General features: G+C 43.0%; 1 protein-coding gene across 16 annotated transcripts in view, besides 1 other annotated feature; it reads right to left on the reverse strand.

The window, feature by feature from the left end:
• Nucleotides 1-26,510, reverse strand: part of USP54 (ubiquitin specific peptidase 54) — a 128,444-nt gene that overhangs the window by 93,950 nt on the left and 7,984 nt on the right. The window contains exon 1 of one of the 16 annotated variants that reach the window (NM_001378209.1): nt 10,045-10,134. The exons of the other annotated variants lie outside the window; for them this stretch is intronic. The gene's annotated coding sequence lies outside the window, so the exon portion shown is untranslated. Of the gene's footprint in view, nt 1-10,044; nt 10,135-26,510 lie in introns of those variants that run through there. 16 annotated transcript variants of the gene reach the window in all.
• Nucleotides 138-888: an enhancer, noted in NCBI's record as "NANOG-H3K27ac hESC enhancer chr10:75351383-75352133 (GRCh37/hg19 assembly coordinates)". NCBI's record gives its function as "activates a minimal SCP1, AML or CMV promoter by ChIP-STARR-seq in primed H9 embryonic stem cells {active_cell/tissue: H9 hESC(primed)}" and the evidence as "EXISTENCE:reporter gene assay evidence [ECO:0000049][PMID:30033119]".

Below are 26,510 nucleotides of genomic sequence, written 5' to 3' on the forward strand. Positions count from 1 at the left end.
AATTCTTTTTACCAACTACCAGGAACTCAGCACTGACAATTCATGACAAAGTTAAAAAGGTGGAGCTTCCAATTAAAAACAAAGTAAACTTAAGAAACTAACCAAAAGTAACTTGAAAGGACGTTATCACAAACTTCACCTGAGGCTTAAGAAAAACAATTATGAAGCTGTTTCCTGGGGCATTCCTGATGACAAAGGTCATTAAACAATAAGGTTTGCAGGGTGGCTGCTGCTTCCAAAGAAGGGCCAGTCCCCCACAAAAAAATTCCTTTGCACTGCAGTCAAAAGGAGCACGAGAAGACAACATTTTTGTAGTTGTTTACAGAATAATCAAAACAATGTTATTGTTGGAATCCCTAATTCAGAATTCCAAGACTGGGCTTAAATTAAATCAAATCATTTTAATAGGCAAAACTCCTCCAACTGTCTTAAACGAGCCACACTATTAAAGAAAATTATTATTTAAACTGAGCCATTGGAATCTACTGAGTCAATTTTAAAATGCTTGGGATCTAAGGGTTCTCAACCCCAAAGTCCACAACAGGGAAAGATCTCCACCCCTCTCTCGGGGAAGAGACCTAGTTACATCACCAAGAACAAACAGCAGGCAGAGTCCCACCCCCAAACATGTGATCAGTCAACCGAGAACTTGCATTTGCAGGCAGGGCACAAAGGCCCCAGAGGACCAACACACACCCTTCTATGTATTACCTGAGGTTATAAAACAGTTTTATTGAAAGAAGTTGTTTTATAAGCATACTGATGAAAAAAACTCATCAGCAGAATCCTTGCCAAATATGAAGGTCTGTTGTGTTTCTATAGGTTGAGAGAAAATATACGAGTTGACTAAAAAAAAGATGTAATTAAGATTTATTGGTAAAATTTAACAAACATGGGCAATGTCCAAAACTAATTAAGCTCTTACATTTTAACAATACAGTATATTAAATTGAAGTAGTCCTTTGGCCACAAGGAAAGTGCCACAAAAAAAAAAAAAAAAAAAAAGATACTGTTGCTTTTCTTGTTAACCATTAGCATTCTAACTCAGGTCTCCTAGTGGTGCTAGGTGGAGGAGGAGGTAGTAATGCCATTTCAAAGTGTGAAACACAAAATTTCTACTGATAAGTGCTGACTGCAAATAAAGACATACAAACATCAAGACCAAGCTCTTCAATCAAGTCATTAAAATATAGGTATATATTCATTGTGAAACTAATCAAATAAAACTAGAGTACTGGGACAGAGTTACAGAGCTTCAACCCTGATTACAACTAGACAACATTACTTTTCATGTCTCATCCAGGTAAGGGAAGTGATCCACAGGGAAATCTCACTCTAATAGATTGTAATCTCTCCAGAGGCCCCTCAGAAAACACCTCCCATAAAACTCTGCTATGATACTCACATTCTGCCTTGCATAAGTTATTTTCAGACATTTCTTATTCCCTCTTCAAGACTGCACAAGAGGTTCTGTGCCAAATAGAAAGAGAACCCTGTATCAACCACTGGGCTTCGCCATTCAAAATAAATTGGGTAACTACAAGTTTTTGTTAGGTGAGTGTCAAACTGCCTGTAGAAAAGGTTTTATAGGCCGGGTGCAGGGGCTCACGCCTGTAATCCCAGCATTTTGGGAGGCCATTGCGGGAGGATCATTTGAGCCCAGGAGTTCAAGACCAGCCTGGGCAACACAGGGAGGCCCCTTCTCTACAAAAAAAAAAAAGAAAGAAAGAAAGTTTTTAATTAGCCTGGTGTGGTGGCACGCACCTCTCTGGTCCCAGTTACTCCAGGCTGAGGTGGGAGGATCCCTTGAGCCCAGGAGGTCAAGGCCCCAGTGAGCAGTGATTGTGTCGCTGCACTCCAGTCTGGGCCACAGAGCAAGACCCTGTCTCAAAAAAAAAAAAAAAAAAGGAAAAATAAAAATAGAAAGAAAAGGTTTTGGGTACATGATTGCTAACTACGTCAAGAGGGAGAGTGATACATAGTGTTTCAGATTATTATTTTTTAAAATAGGGTTTTAGTTTAAATGTTCAGGTATTCTAAAGTTGGATGACTAGTTACAACAGTACTTTGTAAAACTGTGCTTCAACAAAACTTAACAAGTCATATTTTTCAAGTACTTTGCAGGGAATATGTAACACCACAATAGGTCCACCTTAGACCAGAATAGACAAAGGTCTCTGAAAAAATATAAATATTATTAGCAAGGAGAAACAATATTTAGGATTTGAGTAAATCAATCAAGAAAAATCCTTGGAGGGTAGTGGGGAGGGTAATGGAAAAGCACAGGCTGAAAAGTCCTATTTGGTCACATTCCGTAGCTTTTCATTATTGGTTTCTACTAGCAAATAGAGTAAGGTACAACAGAATGTTCAATGCATTGAAAGAACATTTTGCTTCTCTTAAAAGTCATAAAAGAGAAACAGAGGATTTCTCTAAGAAAAACCAAAATAACTCCCTCTGGAGTAACCCCAAAGTCAAACCATCATTGTCTTTTATTTCTGAGATGCTAATGATAATGCTGATGTCGGCAGTAAAGGCAGGAACTGAGTGGCTCCGCAGTAGGAACACGAGATTGGAAAATAAAAGACTCTTTTTTTTTTTGAGTCCAAGTCTTGCTCTGTCACCCAGGCTGGAGTGCAGTGACACGATCTCGGTTCACTGCAACCTCCACTTCCCAGGTTCAAGTGATTCTCCTGCTTCAGCCTCTTCAGTAGCTGGGATTACAGGTAGGTGCCACTACACCCAGCTAGTTTTTGTATTTTTAGTAGAGATGGGGCTTCACCATGTTGGCCAGACTGGTCTCGAACTCCTGACCTCAAGTGATCCACCTGACTCAGCCTCTCAAAGTGCTGGGATTACAGGTGTGAGCCACTGTGCCCAGCCAATAAAAGACTCTAGATTTTAGAATGTAGTGACAAAATTTGGGAACTTTTTAAGAGACAGGTTCTTCCTCTGTTGCCCAGGCTGGATGCAGTGGTGTGATCACAGCTCACTGAACCCTCAAATTCCTGGGTTCATGCAATCTTCTACCCTCAGCCTCCCGAGTAGCTGGGACTACAGGTGTGTACAACCAGACCCAGCTAATTTTTTAAAGATTTTTGGAGACAGGGTCTTAGTATGTTACCTAGGCTGAGACTTTTAAATAAACTGGAGGATTGGGGTGGGGAGGGGTGGGGAAGAGACTGCTTTATATCAAATGAAAGCCTTTATCATTTGATCCTGGGGAGAGGGGAAGCTTAATTCAGAGCTGTTAAACTGGAGTTCTAGCAAACAAAAATTAGAGACGGACTTGATCTTAGCTAATAAGGAACCTAAGAGAAAATATTCTAGCCTTTGACTCTAGGTTGTAAGGAAGAATATACCATGAAGTAGATGAAAAACAGGGAAAACTACATAACTAATTTGAGTCTAGTGGGTTTTTTTTTAACTTTTTTTTTTTAATCTTGGTTTTGTTTGAAGACAGAGTCTCACTCTGTCACCCAGGCTGGAGTATAGTGCCATAATCTCAGCTCACTGCAATCTCTGCCTCCCGGGTTCAAGTGATTCTCCTACCTCAGCCTCCAGAGTAGCTGGGATTACAGGTGCACACCACCACACCTGGCTAATTTTTGTATTTTGAGTAGAGATGGAGTTTCACCATGTTGGCGAGGCTGGTCTCAAACTCCTGACCTCAGGTGATCCACCCACCTCAGCCTCCCAAAGTGCTGGGATTACAGGCGTGAGCCACCAAGCCCCACTGGTGTTTTCTTTTAAAGACAGAGTCTCACTATGTTGCCCAGGCTGGAGTGCAGTGGCTAGTCACAGGTGCAATCCCTGTGCAATCAGAGGTGACTCTAGTTTTTATTCTGAGATTTATTCACAATGTTGGCAGAGCATGTGTACCTTAAAGAGCTGGTTGTTTCACTCAAGTATGCATTACTGAGAAGAGGAATATTGCAGAAAGGGTAGAGGGAAGAGAAAAAAACTGATCCAAAGAATACATTTTGGAGAAACTTTGGCTGTTAATCACAGACCTGAGCAGCAAAATCATACAAGAAATCTCTATATTTCTCATATAAATGGACTCTAAAGAAGAGAGGGAGATAGGGGCCACACATTTGGGCTTCTAATTATAGCATCATTATTGTTTAAATTCATTTATTTAACTATATCTTGCATAATTCTAAAAAGTATATCAAATAGCATTATGTCATTATGAACATTAACCACCCTGTCTATAGAACAAGGGTTTTTAAAAGTCTTGGACTGGACTTAAAGCTCCTAGAAAGCAAGAAGAGTATGAAAATCCCTCTCAAGCACACCAAAGAATTACCTAAATGCTAGTCTTACAGAAAGTAATCAGCCGGGCGCGGTGGCTCACGCCTGTAATCCCAACACTTTGAGAGGCCAAGGCAGGCGGATCTCTTGAGGTTAGGATTTTGAGACCAGCCTGGCCAACATGGTGAAAAACCCGTCTTGACTAAAAATACAACAATTAGCTGGGCATGGTGGCGTGTGCCTGTAATCCCAGCTACTCAGGAGGTTGAGGCAGGAGAATCGCTTGAACCCAGGAGGCGGAGGTTGCAGTGAGCTGAGATGGTGCCACCGCACTCCAGCCTGGGCAACAGAGCCAAGACTCCATCTCAAAAAAAAAAAACAAAACAAAAAAAACAGGCCGGGTGCAGTGGCTCACGCCTATAATCCCATCACTTTGGGAGGCCAAGGTGGACAGATCATTTGAGGTCAGGAGTTCAAGACCAGCCTGACCAACATGGTGAAACCCCATCTCTACTAAAAATACAAAAATTAGGCTGGGCACGGTGGCTCACACCTGTAATCCCAGCAGTTTGGGAGGCCGAGGCGGGCAGATCACAAGGTCAGGAGATCAAGACCATCCTGGCTAACATAGTGAAACCCTGTCTCTACTAAAAATACAAAAAAAATTAGCCAGGCGTAGTGGCGGGCGCCTGTAGTCCCAGCTACTCGGGAGGCTGAGGCAGGAGAATGGTGTGAACCCGAGAGGCGGAGCTTGCAGTGAGCCGAGATCGCACCACTGCACTCCAGCCTGGGTGACAGAGTGAGACTCTGTCTCAAAAAAAAAATCAGCCAGGCAGTAGTGGTACGCGCCTGTAATCCCAGCTACTCAGGAGGCTGGGGCAGGAGAATCACTTGAGCCTGGGAGGTGGAGGTTGCAGTGAGCTGAGATCAGGCCATCGCACTCCAGTCTGAGTTGGACAGAGTGAGATCCTGTCTCAAAAAAAAAAAAAAAAAAAAAGGAATAAAGGGTTTCTCAGTGTTTATGTTCAAGTAACTTTATTTTACTTAATAATATTCCCAAATGCAAGAGTAGTGATACTGGCAATTTAACAGGCCATAGAGAAGCCATAAGGTGCTTCCTTTAAGTGAAAAAGTGAAAGTTATCGACTTAATAAGGAAAGAAAAAGAATCATACACTAAAGCTGCTAAGGTCTACCATAAGAACAAATCCATGCATGACATTGTGAAGAAGGAAAGGAAATTCATGCTAGTTTTACTGTCACACCTCAAACTGCAAAAAGTCATGGCCATAGTTCATGGTAAGTGAAACCACCTTTGCAAAAATTATAACTGAGAAAATTATTACAGTGAAAGAGATCTGACTTACTTGACTCCCTGTTGCTTCTAACTTCCAAGCTGTCCTTGTTCATTCCTGGACATAAAGCGAACTAACTTTGGGAGGAACTTATAGTTTAACTTTGAAACAAAGACAAAAACACAGCCCTTTCCCAGAACAAACCCTCTTCTTGCCTGGGGACTAGACTGCCTTTGCAGGACTAACAAATTGCTACAAGATTAGAAATTATGCTTTAGGAATCATGCAGCTAAAGGCCCCAAGGTTCTACACCTCCCTAACTGCTCCTAGGGATAACATCACTAATGTAAAACCTAAGATTGGTGCTCAAGATATTTTTCAAACCCTGAACTCAATGGATCACCTGGCACCATCCAGATTAATAAACTGTCTCATCTGGTCTTGTGGTCCTACCCAGGAACTGACTCAGTGTAAAAGGACAGCTTTGACTCCCTGTGATTTCATTGCTGACCTAAGCAATCAACACTCCCCACTCTCTGGCCCTCTAACCACCAAAGTAGCCTTAAAAACCCCAATCCTGGAATATTCTGGGAGACTGATTTGAGTAATAATTAAACTCTGGTCTCCTGTGCGGCCAGCTCTATGTGAATTAAACTCTTTCTCCATTGCTATTCTCCTGTCTTGATAAATCAGCTGTATTGGGGCAATGGGCAGAATGAACCCATTCAGTGGTTATATAAGTGCTTAGTTAAGATGGAAAAGGCGGCCAGGTGTGGTGGCTCACTCCTGTAATCCCAACACTTTGGGAGGCCAAAGCGGGTGGATCACCTGAGGTTAGGAGTTCAAGAGCAGCCTGGCCAACTTGGTGAAACCCTGTCTCTACTAAATATATAAAATTAGCTGGGCATGGTGGTGGGGACCCGTAATCCCAGCTACTCGGGAGGCTGAGGCAGGAGAATCACCTGAATCCCCGGAGGCAGAGGTTGCAGTGAGCCGAGATCACGCCACTGCACTCCAGCCTGGGCAACAGAGCAAGACTCCATCTCAAAAAAAAGGTTGGAAAAGGCACTAAATTTGTGGGTGGAAGAAATGAACAGAATTATGTTCCAATTAACAGCTGTCAGGTTCAGTACTATTCATGGTTCCAGGCATCCACTGGAGGTCTTGCAACATATCCTTCATGGATAAGGAGAAACTACTGTAGTCTTTTAATAAATAGTGCTGGAATAATTGAATATCCCCCATATGCAAGAGAAAAAGTTGGACTCCTATCTCACACCATATGCAAAAATTAATTCAAAATGGATCAAAAACTTAAATGAATGAGCTCAAACTATAAAACTTTTAGAAGAAAACATAGACATAAATCTTCATGACCCTGGGTTAGGCAAAGACACCACACAAGTAACAAAAGAAAAAAATACATAAATTGGACTTCATCAAAATTAAAACTTTTGACCGGGCACAGTGGCTCACGCCTGTACTCCCAGCATTTTGGGAGGCCGAGAAGGCCGATCACAACAAGGTCAGGAGTTGAAGACCAGCCTGGCCAATATGGTGAAACCCAATCTCTACTAAAAATACAAAAATTGGTCAGGCACAGCGGCTCACACCTGTAATCCCAGCACTTTGGGAGGCCGAGGCGGGTGGATCACGAGGTCAGGAGATTGAGACCAGCCTGGCCAACATGGTGAAACCGCATCTCTACTAAAAATAAAAATAAAAATAAAAATTAGCTGGGCGTGGCAGCGTGCATCTGTAGTCCCAGCTACTTGGGAGGCTGAGGCAGGAGAATCGCTTGAACCCAGGAGATGGAGGTTGCAGTGAGCCAACAGAGCGCCACTGCACTCCAGCCTGGCGACAGAGAGAGACTCTGTCTCAAACAAACAAATTAGCTGGGTTTGGTGGCGCATGCCTGTAGTCCCAGCTACTTGGGAGGCTGAGGCAGGAGAATCGTTGGAACCCAGGAAGGGGAGGTTGCAGTGAGCCGAGATCACGCCACTGCATTCCAGCCTGGGCAACAGAGCAAGACTCCGTCTCAAAAAAAATAAAATAACCCATGCAGACTGACTGCCCATGGAAAAAATAAGAATAACCTACCAGGATCTTCCTGGTAAAATCAAGATGATCAGTGGATACAGTTATTCGATGTCTGACACATTCACTTAACCAATCAATGAAATTTGTATCACTACATTATCAGCCACATGAAAGACGGTGAAACTGACGGGATTTTGACTCACTATATGTAGAACAATCCCCTGATCCACAAACCTCTTAATCCTAAATAGAAGTAATGAAATTCAAAAATAGAAACAGAAGTAATTTGTTATGATCAATCAACCCATACTCTTTTTTCTCCTTAATACTGCATATCATGTTTAGTCCTTTATAATTGAATTTTCCCAAGATTTAACAATTTTACATGTCTATGGTTTTCCAACTACTTTCCTTTCCTCTTTTTGGATATAAAGACATTTGTCTCTCTCTAGTCTTTATGGTTTCTCAAAGACAGTGGCTCTGAGATCATCAGCCAGTTAATTCAGCACCCCGAAATGTAATTCATTTCAGCCTTAAGACTTAAATTCATTTAAAAATGTTCACTCTTACCATCTTAGGCTACAGTTTCCAGTTTTTAACTTGCTATATACTTTCCAGTTTGAAAACAATTATCTCTGCTGCTAATAATAATCTATATATTTATTTTTTGTAAGAGTTTTACAATTTCTCAAAAATCCTGCAAAACAGGTTAATATACCACTATCCCATTTTACAGATAAGGAAACTGAAGCACAGAGAAATTAAAATTATTTGCCCAAGGTAAAGAGCTACAATGAACCAAAATCGATTGCACTTTGGGCTTTTTTTTTTTTTTTTTTTGAGATAGAGTTTCGCTCTTTTTGCCCAGGCTGGAGTGCAATGGCGTGATCTTGGCTCACTGCAACCTCTGCCTCCTGGGTTCAAGCGATTCTCCTGTCTCAACCTCCCGAGTTGCTGGGATTACAGGCATGCACCACCACGCTCAGCTAATTTTGTATTTTTAGTAGAGACGGGGTTTCTCCATGTTTGTCAGGCTGCCTCGAACTCCTGACTTCAGGTGATCTGCCCGCCTTGGCCTCCCAAGTGCTGGGATTACACTTGTGAGCAACCGCGCCCGGCCCAAGGGCTCTTTTCATAAGGCCATGTGGATCTTTAATACAGAACTTCTCAGGATTGCACATAAAATTTTCTCTGCTAAAAATTGATTTTTTAATTAGCGGTTGACAGGAGTTAAGAAAGGTGTAGGGGTGGAAGGGAAGTGGGGGTAGCTATAAAAGGACATGGTAGATCCTGTGGTGATGAAAATATTTGGTACCTTGACTGTATCAACATCAATACCCCAGTTGTAAAATTGTACTATAATTTTGGAAGATATTGCCATTGGAGGAAATGAGGTAAATGGTACATCAGGTCAATATTATTATTTATTTTAACTCTGTATAAATCTAGAATTATCTCAAGATAAAAAGTTCCATTCAAAATAATAAACAATTGGGGCCTACTTGAGGATAGAAGGTGGAAGGAGGGTGAGAGTCAAAAAACTACCTATCAGGGGCCAGGCGCAGGGGCTCGCGCCTATAATGCCAGCACTTCGGGAGGCTGAGGCAGGCGGATCACCTGAGGTTAAGAGTTCGAGACCAGCCTGGCCAACATGGTGAAACCCCATCTCTACCAAAAATACAAAAATTAGCTGGGTGTGGTGGCGGTCACCTGTAATCCCAGCTACTCAGGAGGCCGAGGCAGGAGAATCGCTTGAACCCGGGGGGCGGAGGTTGCAGTGAGCCGGGATCGCGCCACTGCACTCCAGCCTGGGTGACAAGAGTGAAACTCTATCTCAAAAAACTACCTATCAGGTACTATGCTTATTACCTGGATGATGAAATAATTTGTACATCAAACCCCTGTAACATGCAGTTTACCTATATAGCAAACCTGCGCATGTACCCTGGAACCTAAAATAAAGGTTACAAATAAATAATAAATGATATTTCTTTTCTAAACCAATTTCATGTTTAAGAACCTTACTTAAAGTGAATAGGAAAGTTTGGGTAAATTAAAACAAAACAGGATCATGTATAGGAGCTCTGAAATCCAACACAGAAGTCTTCTAATGTGGGGTAAGTTCCATCAATAAAAGCTCCAAAACAAGTCATGAAGATCCTTGAAAATAAAAAAGGAGCTCCTGGGATTCTTATTTCCTAGAGAAATGAAACCAGTCAAGACAGTGTAGGAAACAAAATTGTTAAGTCATGGAAAGTCACCTCAAAAAGAAGCAGTAGAATAAAGTTAGAACCACCTAAGCTTTGCTTTCCTCAATACCACCATACACTTTACTGCAATCCTCAACTTAGAGAAAGACTGAATGTGTATGTCACCTTCAACCTGATACTCACACACACATTTCAAAAGCTTCCCCAAAAATGCCTTTTTTTTTTTTCCTTTTTGCTACTCACCAAGTGCCTGAAGTGTCAATCATTTCCTGCTTCTCCCAGCTGCAGGACTTGGAACTAGGAAAACATTCAGTCAGCGTCTAGAGCAGGTCTGGTTAGAAGGATGAGCTCATCCCTTTCAGATGCACACCTGATCCTCAAGAAGCTGCCCCTCCTCCAGCAAGCAGATCTTTGTATGTTTAAAGTGACACCCACAACCTGTACAACCACTTTGCCAGAGCCAAAGTAAGTCTTTCCTTATACATGCCTAGTGCCATGGAATCATTTCCTGGTCTAGCCACCTCACACAGCCACTGAACGCAGGTGGCAGTGGCAACAGCTGCTGCTGCTGCTACTATGGCTTTGTTAGAGAAGGACTTCATTTTCAGCTACAACGGAGGTCAAGTCCTTCACCACTGCCCTGGAAACACTGCACTGTTTGTTTCAACAGCCCCTTGCCCACAGTCAGATCTTACCAGAATCATGCCTTCTTTCAAAACTCACAACCATTTTTCTGAACCAACAATGTAGCACCTCAACATCTGCCTTATTCCATTTGCCCTGTCTAAAAGTTAAATTAGCCAAGGCAGCTAAATGTACTGTATGTATTTAGAGCTAAAATGTTCCCAACTCAGGTTTGCCCTCAGTTTTACTACCTCTAAGAAAACCTTTATTCTGCCATAGCAGTCTATTTATTGGTAAAGTATACAGTAATCCTAATACAGAGATATGTAAACTTCACTTCATGAAAAAATAGTATAATAGCCGGGCACGGTGGCTCATGCCTGTAATCCCAGCACTTTGGGAGGCCGAGGTGGGCAGATCACGAGGTCAGGAGATCAAGACCATTCTGGCTAACACTGTGAAACCCCATCTCTACTAAAATTATAAAAAAATTAGCCGGGCGTGGTGGCGGGCATCTGTAGTCCCAGCTACTCAGGAGGCTGAGGCAGGAGAATGGCGTGAACCCAGGAGGCAGAGCTTGCAGTAAGCTGAGATCATGCTACTGCACTCCAGCCTGGGTAACAGAGCAAGACTCTGATTCAAAAAAAAAAAATAGTATAATAGTGGCCAGGCACTGTGGCTCATGCCTATAATCCCAGAACTTTGGGAGGCCAAGGCGGGTGGATCACCTGAGGTCAGGAGTTCAAGGCCAGCCTGACCAAGGTGAAAACCTGTCTCTAATAAAAATACAAAAATTAGCCAGGCGTGGTGGTGTGCGCCTGTAGTCCCAGCTACTTGGGAGACTGAGACAGGAGAACTGCTTGAACTCAGGAGGTGGAGGTTGCAGTGAGCTGAGATCGCACCACTGCACTCCAGCCTGGGCGACAGAGCAAGACTCTGTCTCAAAAAAAAAAAAAAAAAAAAAAAAATAGTATAATAGTGGTACAAAATATCTTCAATCAGAAGTACATGGGTTCCAAATAGTTATTCAACAAACATTTCTATACACCTATTATGTGCAAGTATCTCTGATAGGGTGCTGAACTGGGCTTTTGAAAACAGCATCACAAAAATCTAAGAAAGAACTCATCCCACCCTAATTAGCCTTCCCCAGGACCTTTGCAGTATTTTTACTTCAGTCATCACAAGCTTCTAATACGCTAACAGGCTGTCTAAGGAGTATAAACTATGTCAGAGAAAAATCAAATTCATTAGTGGTTACCTTTGGTGAGGGACTTGTAATCAATAAGGGGAAACTCGGGAGCAAACCAATTTACTAATATTTAATTTGCTGGATGGCGATTATAAAGATGTTTACTGTGTTATTCTTTTAAATGTCTTAGAAAATATATAATAAAATTTTTAAAAAACAGAACTGTGAATCAAAGGAAAAGAGAAAGGACAACCCATGAGATGGGAGAAAATATTTGTAAATCATTATTCTGATAAGGGGCTAATATCCACAATATATAAAGACCTCCTGCCATGTGCAGTGGCTCACATCTGTAATGCCAGCACTTTGGGTGGCCAAGGCGGGCAGATCATTTGAGGCCAGGAGTTTGAGACCAGCTTGGCCAACATGGCGAAACCCCATCTCTACTAAACCTGTCTCTATTAAGCCCTGTCTCTACTAAAAATGCAAAAAAGTTAATCAGGCGTGGTGGCGCACACCTGTAATGCCAGCTGCTTGGGAAGCTGAGGCAGGAGAAGCACTTTAACCCGGGAGGCAGAGGTGGCAGTGAGCCGAGATCACACCACTCAACTCCAGCCTGGGTGACAGAGTGAGACCCTGTCTCAAAAACAAAAACAACAAAAAAAAAAACTACAAGTCAACAACAACAAAATACAATTAAAAAATAAAGAACTTGAACAGACATTTCTCCAAAGAAGATACACCAATGGCCAATGAACACAGGAAAAGACACTCAAGTTCACTAATCATTAGGGAAAATAAATCAAAACCACAGTGAGATATCACCTCACACTTATTAGGATGGCTACTATTAAAAAAAAAGGTGGCCAGGCACAGTGGCTCACACCTGTAATCCCAGCACTTTGGAAGGACGAAGGGGGCAGATCATGAGGTCAGGAGTTCGAGACCAGCCTGGCCAATGTGGTGAAACCCTGTCTGTACTAAAAATACAAAAATTAGCCGTGTGTGGTGGTGCACACCTGTAGTCCCAGCTACTCAGGAGGCTGAGGCAGGAGAATCGCTTGAACCCAGGAGGCAGAGGTTGCAGTGAGCCGAGATCGCACCACTGACTCCAGCCTGGGCGACAGAGCGAGAGTCCATCTCAAAAAAACAAAACAAAACCACACACAAAACAAAAAAAACAGTGTTGGCAAGAACGTGGAGAAATTGGTATCCTTGTGCACATTGGTAAGAATGTCAAATGGTATAGCCAGTATGAAAATTAGTATGATAGTTCTTCAAAATTAAAATAAAATGACATATGATCCAGCAATTCTACTTTTGGTTACATATCCAAAAGAACTGAAAGTATGCTCTCAAAGAGATAACTTGCCAGGCACATTGGCTCACACACGTAATCCCAGTATTTTGGGAGGCTGAGGCAGGATTGCTTGATCTCATGAGTTTGAGACAAGGCTGGGCAACATAGTGAGACTCCATCTCCACAAATTTTTTTTTTTTTTTTGAGACAGAGTCTCGCATTGTTGCCGAGGCTGGAGTGCAGTGGTGCAATCTTGGCTCACTGCAAGCTCCGCCTCCCTGATTCACGCCATTCTCCTGCCTCAGCCTCCCAAGCAGCTGGTGTGTCCAGAGTTGGTTCCTTCCAGTGGGTTCTTGGTCTCGCTGACTTCAAGAACGAAGCCGCAGATCTTCACGATGAGTGTTACAGCTCTTAAAGGTGGCACAGACCCAAAGAGTGAGCAGCAGCAAGATTTATTTTGAAGAGCAAAAGAACAAAGCTTCCACAGTGTGGAAGGTGACCCAAGCGGGTTGCCGCTGCTAGCTGGGGTGGACAGCTTTTATTCCCATATTTGTCCCCACCCACGTCCTGCTGATCGGTCCATTTTACAGAGTACTGATTGGTCCATTTTTACAGAGTGCTGAATGATGCATTTACAATCCTTTAGCTAGACACGGAGTGCTGATTGGTGCATTTACAATCCTTTAGCTAGACACAGAGCACTGATTGCTGTGTTTACAATCCTCTAGCTAGACAGAAAAGTTCTCCAAGTCCCCACTCGACCCAGGAGGTCCAGCTGGCTTCACCTCTCACTGGGACTACAGGCCCCCGCCACCATGCCTGGCTAATTTTTTGTATTTTTAGTAGAGACGGGGTTTTACCATGTTAGGCAGGATGGTCTCCATCTCCTGACCTCATGATCCGCCCACCTTGGCCTCCCAAAGTGCTGGGATTACAGGTGTGAGCCACTGCACCTAGCCAATTTTTTTTTTAATTAGTTGGATGTGGTGGTGTGTGCCTGTAGTCTCAGCTACTTGGGAAGCTGAGGTGAAAGGATCACTTGAGCCCAGAATATCGATACTGCAGTGAGCCATGATTGTGCCACTGCATTCCAGCCTGGGCAACAGAGCAAGACTCTGTCTCAAAAAATAAATAAAGAGATAATTGTATACCCATGTTCATAGCAACATTATTGACAATAGACAACAGGTAGGAGCCACCTAAGAGAACAGGTAAGCAAAATGTGGTACATACATAGAACTGATTCAGCCTTAAAAAGGAAGGAAAATCTGATACATGCTACAACACAGATGAACTTGAGGACATTATACTACGTGAAATAAGCCAGTCACAACAGGACAAATACCAATGACTCCATTATATGAGGCATGAAGAATAGTCAAATTCATTGAAACAGAAAGTTGGATGGTGGTGGCTAGGCACTTTGGGGAAGGAGGAATCGGGGGGTGTTTAATGGATTTGGAGTCTCAGTTTTATGAGATGAAACAGGGTGGGCAGGTGTGGTAGCGCACACCTGTAATCCCAGCACTTGTGGAGGCCAAGGCGGGTGGATCACCCAATGTCAGGAGTTCAAGACCAGCCTGGCCAACATGGTGAAACCCTGTCTTTACTAAAAATACAAAAATTAGCCAGGCGTGGTGGTACAGTCCTGTAATCCCAGCCACTCGGGAGGCTGAAGTAGGAGAATCACTTGAACCCAGGAGGCAGAGGTTGCAGTGAGCTGAGATCACCCCACTGCACTCCAGCCTGGGCGACAGAGTGAGGCTGTCTCAAAAAAAAAAAAAAAAAAAAAAAAAAAATGAGAGTGCTGAAGATTGGCTGCACAACAATGTGAATGTATGCAACACTACTGAACTGTACACTTAAAATGGTTAAGATGATAAATATTATGTGTATTTTACCACAATTTTTTAAAAAATAAAGAGAACTAATCAAAACACAAAGTGGGGTGTGATGCTGCTCACCTGTAGTCCCAGCCAATCAGGAGGCTGAGGTGGGAAGGAATTACTTGAGCCTAGGAGTTCGAGTACAGCCTGGGCAACACAGGAGAGCCCATCTCTTAGCCTGATCAGTATAAGATGTTGAGAGAGAAACACTCTAAATTCAAATTCAAATAAACAATCTGCTGCTTTTCTCATTTCAAAAAACAATTCAAGCCTTACTAGTGATATTTGTTGAAAAGGACTAATAGGCGCCGGGCGCAGTGGCTCACGCCTGTAATCCCAGCACTTTGGGAGGCCGAGGTGGGCAGATCACAAGGTCAGGAGATCGAGACCATCCTGGCTAACACGGTGAAACCCTGTCTCTACTAAAAATACAAAAAAATTAGCCAGGTGTGGTGGCGGGCACCTGCAGTCTCAGCTACTTGGGAGGCTGAGGCAGGAGAATGGTGTGAACCTGGGAGGTGGAGGTTGCAGTGAGCCAAGATCGTGCCACTGCACTCCAGCCTGGGTGACAGAGCGAGACAATATCTCAAAAAAAAAAAAAAAAAAAGAAATGGACCAATAGGCATCAAATTCATTACTCCCAACTACCTAACTGAACAGTTTCATACAACTGAAAAACCTAATATGTTCAGGGCAGCTAATATATTTCTAGAGGCAGGAATTAGAAAGTAAATATTGACCAGGCACAGAGGCTCATGCCTGTAATCCCAGCACTTTGGGAGGCCAAGGTAGGAGGATAGCTTGAGCCCAGGAGTTTGAGACCAGCCTGGGCAACATGGTGAAACCCCATCACTACAAAAAATACAAAAATTAGCCAGGTGTGGTGGCATGCACCTGTAGTCCCAACTACTCAGGAGGATCACTTGAGTCCAGGAGGTGGAGGCTGCAGTGAGCCATAATCCTGCCATTGCACTCCATCTTGCAGGACAGTGAGACCTGGTTTCCACAAAATCATTCCTAGAGTTTGCTTAAAAAAAAAAAAAAAAGAAAAAAAAAAATAAACAGAAAGAAGACTTAGCCTAAAGAACATAGTCTCCAAATACAAAGGATGGTAGCTTAGAAATAAAAGTCTTTAATTATTTGTCATATTCTATACAAAGTTTGAAGTCTGCATTAAGTTATTAAGAGCCCCATTCCTGAGGCTTATTATTCAAAAGGGTGGAAATACGAAAACTTTAATTTTAAAAACTAAGAAGTAGGCCGGGTACGGTGGCTCGCGCCTGTAATCCCAACATTTTGGGAGCCGGAGGAGGATGGAGAGCCTGAGCTCAGGAGTTCAAGATCACCCTGACCAACATGGTAAAACCCTGTATCTACTAAAAACGCAAAAAATTTCCCAGGGATGGTGGCATGCACTGTAATTCCAGCTGCTTGAGAGGCTGAGACACGAGAATTGCTTGAACCCGGGAAGCGGAGGTTGCAGTAAGCCAAGATCACGCCACTGCACCCCAGCCTGGGAGACAGAGCAAGACTCCGTCTCAAAAAAAAAAAAAAAAAGAAAACTAAGAAGTAATCCTTCAGAGGAAGAAATGTGCTTAATTGAGTAGTAAGGATTAAATGAGTTGCAGTGTGCGAAGTGTTAAGCCTAGCTCCTGCCACACGATATTACTCAACAAGTTATTCAGATTTGGCCGGGCACGGTGGCTCATGCCTATAATCCCAGCAATTTGGGAGGCCAAGGCGGGTGGATCACGAAGTCAGGAGTCCAAGACCAGCCTGGGCAATATGGTGAAACCCTGTCCCTAACAAAAATACAAAAATTAGCCGGGCATGGTAGCGCGTGCCTGTGGTCCCAGCTACTTCAGGGGATGAGACAAAAGAATTGCTTGAACCCGGGAGGCGGAGGTTGCAGTGAGCCGAGTTCATGACACCGCACTCCAGCCTGGGCAACAGAGCGAGATTCCATCTCAAAAACAAAAAAAACAAAAAAAAACAGTTATTCAGACTTTCTCTATTGTCTCATTTCCCTACGTTTCCCTCTTATACCAACATAACCAAAATGAGTTTGACTGTTTTTAACACAAACATGAACAATATTTGAAATAACTGTATACATTTACGAGTAATTTTACAATCACTATCTTTTAAAACTTAAATCAGCTCAAGGAAGGGAAAAAGAAAACTGAAATTTAGAGTCCCTATAACATTATGGCTACTGTGCTAAGAACTGACATCTATCACTTCATTTAATTTGCTCAGGTAGGTTATTATTATCCTAATCTCACAGATAAGGGAAGTGAGGTTCAAAAACATTTAATAATTTGGCCAGGCTTGGTGGCTCATGCCTGTAATTCCAACATTTTGGAAGGCCGAGGTGGGCAGATCATTTGAGCCCAGGAGTTCGAGACCAGCCTAGCCAACATGATGAAACCCAGTCTCTACTAAAAATATAAAAAATTAGCAGGGCATGCTAGCGCGTGTCTGTAGTCCCAGCTACACAGGAGGCTGAGGTGGAAGGATCACTTGAACCTGGGAGGTGGAGGTTGCAGTGAGCCAAGATCCCAAGATCACAGCACTGCACTCCAGCCAGGGGGACAGAGTGAGACTTTGTCTCAAAAAATAAGTAAAATTTATATGGAAAGGCATAGGCCCTAGGAATATGTATTATAGATATCAGTAAGTACTCCAAAACACTGAGGTGTCTAAAGCTTAATTTGGTAATTACAAAGTTTCTTATATCAAGCTGTAAAATAAGCTTGATGTTTCCTTAGACCTAGTGGGCATCAGGAAAGGTGAAAACCCAATATTAAAATGATATTGCGTCTCCCTGGTGTTCCCCTAACACTGAAGGAACACATAGAATTCCCATTTGTTCCTAAATACCCTTCTGATCTTCAATGACCATGAGTAAAGATAAACAAGGAGTTGAAAGAAATGGCAAAAAAGAACCAAAGAACTATCTTGTTTTGGCACTATACAGCTCTGACTGGGGTCAACATCCAAGACAGGATGTACCATCAAAGGAAATGGATCTGCACAGAGAAATAAAAGCTCAGCCCGGGTCAGAAATGAAACAATGGCACACAAATAAGTTTTGTTTCCACAGAGAATACATTTTTCTATATAAACTTTACCATGAGGCTGGGTGCTGTGGCTCTCGCCTGTAATCCCAGCACTTTGGGAGGCCGAGGTGGGCGAATCACTTGAGGTCAGGAGTTCAAGACCAACCTGGCCAACATGGTGAAACCCTGTCTTTACTTAAAATACAAAAATTGCCGGGCATGGTGGCTCCTGCCTGTAATCCCAGCACTTTGGGAGGCAGAGGTGGGCGGCTCATGAAGTCAGGAGATCGAGACCATGCTGGCCAACATGGTGAAACCCCATCTCTACTAAAAATACAAAAATTAGCTGGGCATGGTGGCAGGCACCTATAATCCCAGCTACTCAGGAGGCTGAGGAAGGAGAAGCGCTTGAGCCTGGGAAGCGGAGGTTGCAGTGAGCCAAGATCATGCCACTGCACTCCAGCCTGGCTACAGAGCGAGATTCCGTCACAAAAAAAAAAAAAAAAAATTAGCTGGGTGTGGTGGCGTGCGCCTGTAATCCCAGCTACTCAGGAGGCTGAGGCAGGAGAACTGCTTAAACCTGGGAGGCGGAGGTTGCAGTGAGCCAAAATCACGCCACTGCACTCCAGCCTTGGTGATAGAGCAAGACTCTGTCTCCAAAAAAAAAAAAAAAAAATTAGCCAAGTGTGGTGGCACATGCCCGTAATCCCAGCTACTTGGGAGGCTGAGGCATGAGAATCACTTGAACCTGGGAGGCGGAGGCTGCAGTGAGCTGAGATCACACCACTGCACTCCAGCCTGGGTGACAGAACAAGGCTCTGCCTCAAATTAAAAAAATAAAAATAAAAAAACTTTACTGTGAAACTACATTATCTACAAGATGTTTCTTCAGAAATTTCTTCTCAGGAGAAACTTAGAAATTTTTCTTCCAAGACTTAATAATTGTCACTGACTTCCTGCCAGCTTTATATCAGAAACTTTTGGCCAGGCACAGCGGCTCACACCTGTACTGTAATCCCAGCATTTTGGGAGGCCAAGGTGGGCGGATCACTCGAGGTCAGGAGTTTGAGACCAGCCTGGCCAACATGGTGAAACCCCAACTCTACTAAAATTACAAAAATTAGCCGGACATGGTGGCACACACACCTGTAGTCCCAGCTATCTGGGAGGCTGAAGTGGGAGAATCGCTTGAACCCAGGAGGCAGAGGTTGCAGTGAGCCGAGTTCGCACCACTGCACTGCAGCCTGGACCACTGAGCAAGAACTGACATCTATCACTTTTCTGAGACAGTTCTGTCTCAGGAAAAAGAAAAAAAAAAGAAAGAAACTTTTCAAACATCCTAGAAAAAATGAACCTACACACAGGTCACAATAAAACAAAAATGTATTTTGCAAGAATACAATATAGCCTTACCTCAGCTTCTGTTTTCATTTAAAAACTCAAATGCTATTTGAAAAAAATGTGCTTTGTAGAACATGTTTCTTGCTTTCAACATGGCACGGGAAGGTAATGCTACCACACAGTGCCAAAACACTAAAATATGGCTTTCAGAAAAGCTTGTTAGTTTCATACCAACAATAATAGGGCTAGATTTCCTATTTGCAACAAGCTATGTAATGAATATAACAGCTTTTCCTTAAAAGTCACTTATCTATAGAGAATATTTATACAGACAAACTGAAATAAGAAAAATTCTAGAAAAGCAACAGTGAGTTTTTTAAAAAACATTTTTGTACATTCTACCATCATACCTCCTTAATATACAAATATTCATATATGTGCCTGATATAAGCCATAAAAATAAAATAATTCACAAATTTATTATATGAAAGTATCCCTGAAACTAAAATAAGTAAAATTTGGATAAGCTTTTCTACCAATATACTCTCTGGGAGAAAAAGACAGAAAAGTGAGCCTTAAAGTGAATTCCATTTTTCTACTACTTCTCATTAAATATTAAAAATGTGTCCATATTTTTTAATATTGATAAACTAAATTAAAAACCTTAGTGAAGTACAAGGTATGGTAGCTCCTATCTATAAGCTCAGCTACTTGGAAGGCTAAGGTGGGAGGATGGCTTGAGTGAAGGAGTTCCAGGCCAGCCTGGGCAACATAGTGAGAACCCAGATCTAGAAAAAATAAATAAATAAAAAATAGGCTGGGCGCAGTAGCTCACACCTGTAATCCCAGCACTTTGGGAGGCCAAGGCAGGTGCATCCCTTGACATCAGGAGTTCGAGACCAGCCTGGTCGACATGGTGAAACCCCGTCTCTACTAAAAAAAAAAAAAAAAAAATTAGTTGGGCATGGTGGCAGGCACCTATAATCCCAGCTACTCAGGAGGCTGAGGCAGGAGAATCGCTTGAACCTGGGAGGCGGAGGTTGCAGTGAGTAGAGATCACGCCACTGCACTCCGTCTGGGCAACAGAGCGGGACTCCATCTCAAAAAAATAGTAATAAAAATGAAATAAAATAGGCCAGGTGCAGTGGCTCACACCTGTAAATCCCAGCAATTTGGGAGACGAGGCAGGCAGATCACTTGACCTCATGAGTTCCAGACCAGGCTGCACAACACAGTGACAACTCATCTCTACGAAAAATACAAAAAAACTAGCCAGGCACGGTGGTATGCCCCTATAGTCCCAGCTACTCGGGAGGCTGAGGCAGGAGGATCACCTGAGCCCAGGGAGGTTGAAGCTGCAGTGAGTTGAGATCCCGCCACTGCACTCCCACCTGGGAAAGAGTTCGACCCTGTCTCAAAAATAAAATAAAATAGATAGACAGAAAACCTAATTTATCCTATATGTATAATTAAATATCAGATAGTTATTATTTACATATACTATTGAGGATTTTTAATCTGATCAATTTTATTGAGCTAGCTTCTCCCCAATTTTAAATGCAACCCCTCTAACTCAGATGGCACATAACTGTAAAAAACATTAAATGAATACCAGAATTTTATAGTCAAATCACATTTGTACCCAAAAGTAGGCTTTTTCCCCCTTGTTTTAATTCATAAATTTATTCAACAGACTTGATTTTACAAATTCCAGCCATCCTAGAATTTTCCTCATGTCAAGATATTACAAGCATTATAACAGCCTATTCTAGTGTTTTACTCACTGATGGTCAAGAGATTTCCCCTAAAAGTAAACAGCAAACTAGAAAAAACATTGCCAGCTATATGATAAAGAATATACTTGATGGCCGGGTGAGGTGGCTCATGGCTGTAATCCCAGCACTTAGGGAGGCCAAGGCTGGCACATCACCTGAGATCAGGAGATCAAGACTAGCCTGGCCAACATAGCAAAACCCAGTCTCTACTAAAAATGCAAAAATAAGCTGAGCGTGGTGGTGCATGCCTGTACCCCACTTACTCAGGAAGCTGACGCAGGAAAATCCTTGAACCCACGAGGTGGAGGTTGCAATGAGCAGAGATCTTGCCAAAGCACTCCAGCCTGGGAGACAGAGTGAGACATTGTCTCAAAAAAAAAAAAAAAAAAAAAAAAGAATATATTTGGCTGGGCGTGGTGGCACACACCTGTTATCTCAGCACTTTGGGAGACCAAGATAGCAGAATCACTTGAGCTCAAGAGTTTGAGACCAGCCTTGGCAACATGGTGAGGCCCCGTCTCTCCAAGAAACACAAAAAATTAGCCAAGCATGGTGGTGCGTGCCTCTGGTCCCAGCTACTCAGGAGGCTGAGGTGGGAGGATTGCTTAAGCCCAGGAGGTCAAGGCTGTAGTGAGTGGTGACCGTGCTACTGCATTCCAGCCTCTTTTTTTTTTTTTTTTTTTGGAGATGGAGTCTCACTCTGTTACGTAGGCTGGGGTACAGTGGCGTGATCTTGGCTCACTGCAACCTCCACCTCCCGGGTTCAAGCAATCCTGCCTCAGCATCCGGAGTAGCTGGGACTACAGGTGCATGCCACCATGCCCAGCTAATTTTTGTATTTTTAGTCAAGATGGGGTTTCACCATGTTGGCCAGGCTGGTCTCGAACTCCGGACCTCAGGTGATCCACCTGCCTCGGCCTCCCCCTCCCAAAGTGCTGGGGTTACAGGCGTGAGCCACCGCACCCGGCCTACCACCATTTTTTTTTTTGAGACCCTGTCACCCCCACCAAAAAAAAGAATATTTTTACTATAAAGAGATTCAAAACGTCAAAATAAGAAAAAAATTGCATATGCCAAAACAGAGATAGGCAAAGACGTGAACAGTTAGAAATATGACTATCTTGAAAACCCAAAAGGGCTGGGCGTGGTGGCTCACACCAAAACTTTGGGAGGCTGAGGCAGGCCGACCACCTGAGGCCAGGAGTTTAAGACCACCCTGGTCAACATGGTGAAACCCCGTCTCTACTAAAAATACAAAAAATTAGCTGGGCGTGGTGGCGCGTGCCTGTAATCCCAGCTACTCAGAAGGCTGAGAGGGAAGAATCACTTGAACCCAGAAGGCGGAGGTTACAGTTGAGCCGAGATTGTGCCACTGCACTCCAGCCTAGGTGACAGAGCAAGACTCTGTCTTGAAAAGAAAAAAAAAAAACACAGAAGAAAAAATTATAGTTAGCAAAAGGATTTAGTGGCTCACACCTGTAATCCTAGCACTTTGGAAGGCCGAGGAGGACAGGTCACTTGAGGCCAGGAGTTCGAGACCAGCTAGGCCATGGAGAAACCTCATCTCTACTAAAAATACAAAAATTAGTCACACGTGGTGCCATACACATGTAGTTACAGCTACTGGGGAGGCTAAAGTGGAAGGATCATTTGAGCCCGGGAGGTCAAAGCTGCAGTGACCCAGTATCGCACCACTGCACTCCAGCCTGGGTGATACCTGTCTCAAAAAACAAACAAAAAAACTGTATGGTACTGGCCCAAGAATAAACAACTGAAAAGAACAGAAATATTCAAAAATAAACACATGCAGGCTAGGCGCAATAGCTGGTACCTGTAATCCCAGCACTTTGGGAGGCCAAGGCGGATGGATCACTTGAGGTCAGGAGTTCGAGACCAGCATGGCCAACATAGTGAAACCCCGTCTCTACTAAAATTACAGTAAATTAGCCAGGCGTAGTGGTATGCACCTGTAGTCCCAGCTACTCCAGAGGTTGAGGCAGAGAATCGCTTGAACCCCAGTGGCGGATGTTGCAGTGAGCCGAGATCACGCCACGGCACTCCAGCCTAGGCAACAAAAGTGAGACTCCGTCTCCAAAAAAAAAAAAAAAAAAAAAGGAAACACAGGCGTACATACATACATACACAAATGGTGGATATATGGCAATTGAGAACATGATGAAGATAAGATTTCATATCATTAAAGACACGATATTCAACAAATAGGCTTGGGTCAGTTGCATATTTGTGGAGAAAAAGAGTACCTCCAAAAACATATAAAGATAAATTCCAAATCAGTTAAAGAGTTAAATAAGCTAGTAAAGAGTTAGGATAAATATAAAATATTTTTATAATTTTGGGATGGAGAGAGCCTACTTAAGCAAGCCTCAAAACCCAGAAACCATTAAGAAAAAAGACAGATATGAAATTTTAGCACATCAACGGACACTACAGATGATGCAACAGATTGTAGAAAATATGTGCAATATATGTTTAAAATACAGGGATACACAGAGAGAGTTCCTATTAGTCTAAAGAGAAAAGTGGGGAGAGGTGTGGATAGTTAATGGGTACAAAAACAAATAGAAAGGCTGGGCGTGGTGGCTCACATCTGTGGTGGCTCACATCTGTAATCCCGTCACTTTAGGAGGCCAAGGCAGCAGATCAGTTGAGGCCAGGACTTTAAAACTAGCCTGGCCAATATGGTGAAACCCTGTCTCTACTAAAAAATACAAAAATTAGCCAGGCATGGTGGCATCCACCTGTAATCCCAACTGAGTATACTCAGGAGGCTGAGGGACAAGAATCGCTTGAACCCGGGAGGCAGAAGTTGCAGTGAGCCGAGATCACACCACTGCACTCCAGCCTGGGCAACAGAGCGAGACTCTTGTCTCAAAAACAAAAACAAAAACAAAAATAGAAAGAATGAGTAAGAGGGAATATTTGATAGCACAAATGGATAATTACAGTCAATAATTTAATTGTACATTTTTAAATAACTACAAGTATAATTGTTTATAACACAAATAATGAATGCTGAGAGGATGAATTCCCCATTTTACATGATTTGATTATTATGCAATGCATGCCCATATCAAAACATCTCATGTACCCAATAAATATACACACCTACTATGTATCCACAAAAAAATAAAATATTTTTTTAAAAATAAAGCTGGGCATAGTGGCTCACACCTGTAATCCCAGCACTCTGCGAAGCTGAGGCAGGCAGATCGCTTGAGGTCAGGAATTCTAGAATAGCCTGGGCAACATAGCAAAACCCTTTTTCTATAAAAAATACAAAAATTAGCTGGTCATGATGGCTCACACTGTGGTCCCAGCTACTCGGGAGGTTGAGGTGGGACGATCACCTGAGCTTGGGAAATTGAGGCTGTAGTGAGCGAAATCACTCCAGCCTGGGCAACGAAGAGATCAGTCTCAAAAAAAAAAAAAAAAAAAGGCCCAGCACAGTGGCTCACACCTGTAATCCCAGCACTTTGGGAGGCCAAGGTGAGAGGATTACTTGAGGCCAGGAGTTCAAGACCAGCCTGGCCAACATGGCAAAACTCGTCTCTACTAAAAATACAGAAATTACTTAAGCCAGGCAAGGTGGCTCACGCCTGTAATCTTTGGGAGGCCGAGGTGGGCAGATCACTTGAGATCAGGAGTTCAAGACTAGCCTGGCGAACATGGTGAAACCCTGTCTCTTCTAAAAATACAAAATTAGCCAGGGATGGTGGCAAGTGCCTGTAATGCTAGCTACTTGGGAGGCTGAGGCAGGAGAACTGCTTGAGCCCAGGAGGCAGAGGCTGCAGTGAGCCGAGATTGCGCCACTGCACTCCAGCCTAGGCGACAGCAAGACTCCATCTCAAAAAAAAAAAAAAAAAAAAAAAAAAATCAAGTTCCATTCATGTATCCTCAGCAAACTAACACAGGAACAGAAAACCAAATGCCACGTTTTCACTTATAAGTGGCAGCTGAACAATGAAAACACATGGACACAGGGAGGGGAACAACACACACTAGGGCCTGTGCGGGGGTGGGAAGAGCATCAGGATAAACAGCTAATGTATGCAGGGCTTAATACCTAGGTGATGAGTTAATAGGTACAGCAAACCACCATGGCACACATTTATGTAACACGCCTGCACATCCTGCATGTGTATCCAGGAACTTAAAATTAAATTAAATTCTAAAAAAAATACAAAAATTATCTGGGCGTGGTGGCAGGTGCCTGTAATCTTGCCTCCTCAGGAGGCTGAGGCACAAGAACCATTTAAACCTGGGAGGTGGAGACTACAGTGAGCTGAGCTCACACCACTGCACTTCAACCTTAACAACAGAGAGAGACTCTGTCTCAAAAACAAAACAAAACAAAACAAAACTTAAAAAAATGTTTTCAGAGAATAAATGTAGCTTTGATACAAAAGAAAAACTAAAATGGGATGGGAGGGGTAGAATGAGAAGAAAAAAGCCCAGTTACAAAATAAGCAAAGAATAAGCAATTCCACTGAAAGAAATACAGCCAATAAAGAAATAAAAAGATGTTAGGCTGGGCACAGTGGCTCACACCTGTAATCCCAGCACTTTGGGAGGCCAAGGCGGGCAGATCACCTAAGGTCGGGAGTTCGAGACCAGCCTGACCAACACGGAGAAACCCGTCTCTACTAAAAATACAAAATTAGCTGGGCATGGTGGCACATGCCTGTAATCCCAGCTACTCAGGTGGCTGAGGCAGGAGAATCGCTTGAAACCAGGAGGTGGAGGTTGCGGTGAGCTGAGATCGCACCATTGCACTGCAGCCTGGGCAACAAGAGCGAAACCCTGTCTCAAAAAAAAAAAATTAGCCAGGCGGTGGCGCATGCCTGTAATCCCAGTTACGTGGGAGGCTGAGGTGGGAGAATCACTTGAACCCAGGAGGCGGAGGTTGCAGTGGGCTGAGATCATGCCATTGCACTCCAGCCTGGGCAACAGAGAGAGACTCTGTCTAAAAATAATAATAATAAAAATAAAAAATAATAATAAATATGGAAAATATTCAACTTCATCTCAAATAAATGGAAATTTAAAATGAGATCACTTGGCCAGGTGCAGTGGCTCATACGTGTAATCCCAGCACTTTGGAGGGCTGAGGTGGAAAAATTCCTTGAGTTCAGGAGTTCAAGATCAGCCTGGGCAATATAGTGAGACCTCATCTCTTCAAAAAAATTAAAAATTAGACTTTCTCTTCCTGGTTCCTAGCAGAGTCAGGAAAAGCTTTGTTGAGAGGGCGGGGTGAAAAAAACTTTTTTAAAATTAGCTGGGCATGGTGGTGCACATCTGTAGTTCCAGCTACTTGGGAGGCTGAGGTGAGAGGATTGTTTGAGTCCAGGAGGCAAAAGCTGCAGTAAGCCGTGATTGCACTGCACTCCAGCCTAGGCAACAAAGACCCTGTCTTAAGAAATAAAAATAAAAATAAAAATAAAAATAAGGCAGTGGTTCACACCTGTAATCTCAGCATTCTGGGAGTGCAAGGTTGACGGATCATCTGAG

This window comes from Homo sapiens, chromosome 10 (assembly GCF_000001405.40).
Source record: "Homo sapiens chromosome 10, GRCh38.p14 Primary Assembly".
NCBI lineage: Eukaryota > Metazoa > Chordata > Mammalia > Primates > Hominidae > Homo > Homo sapiens.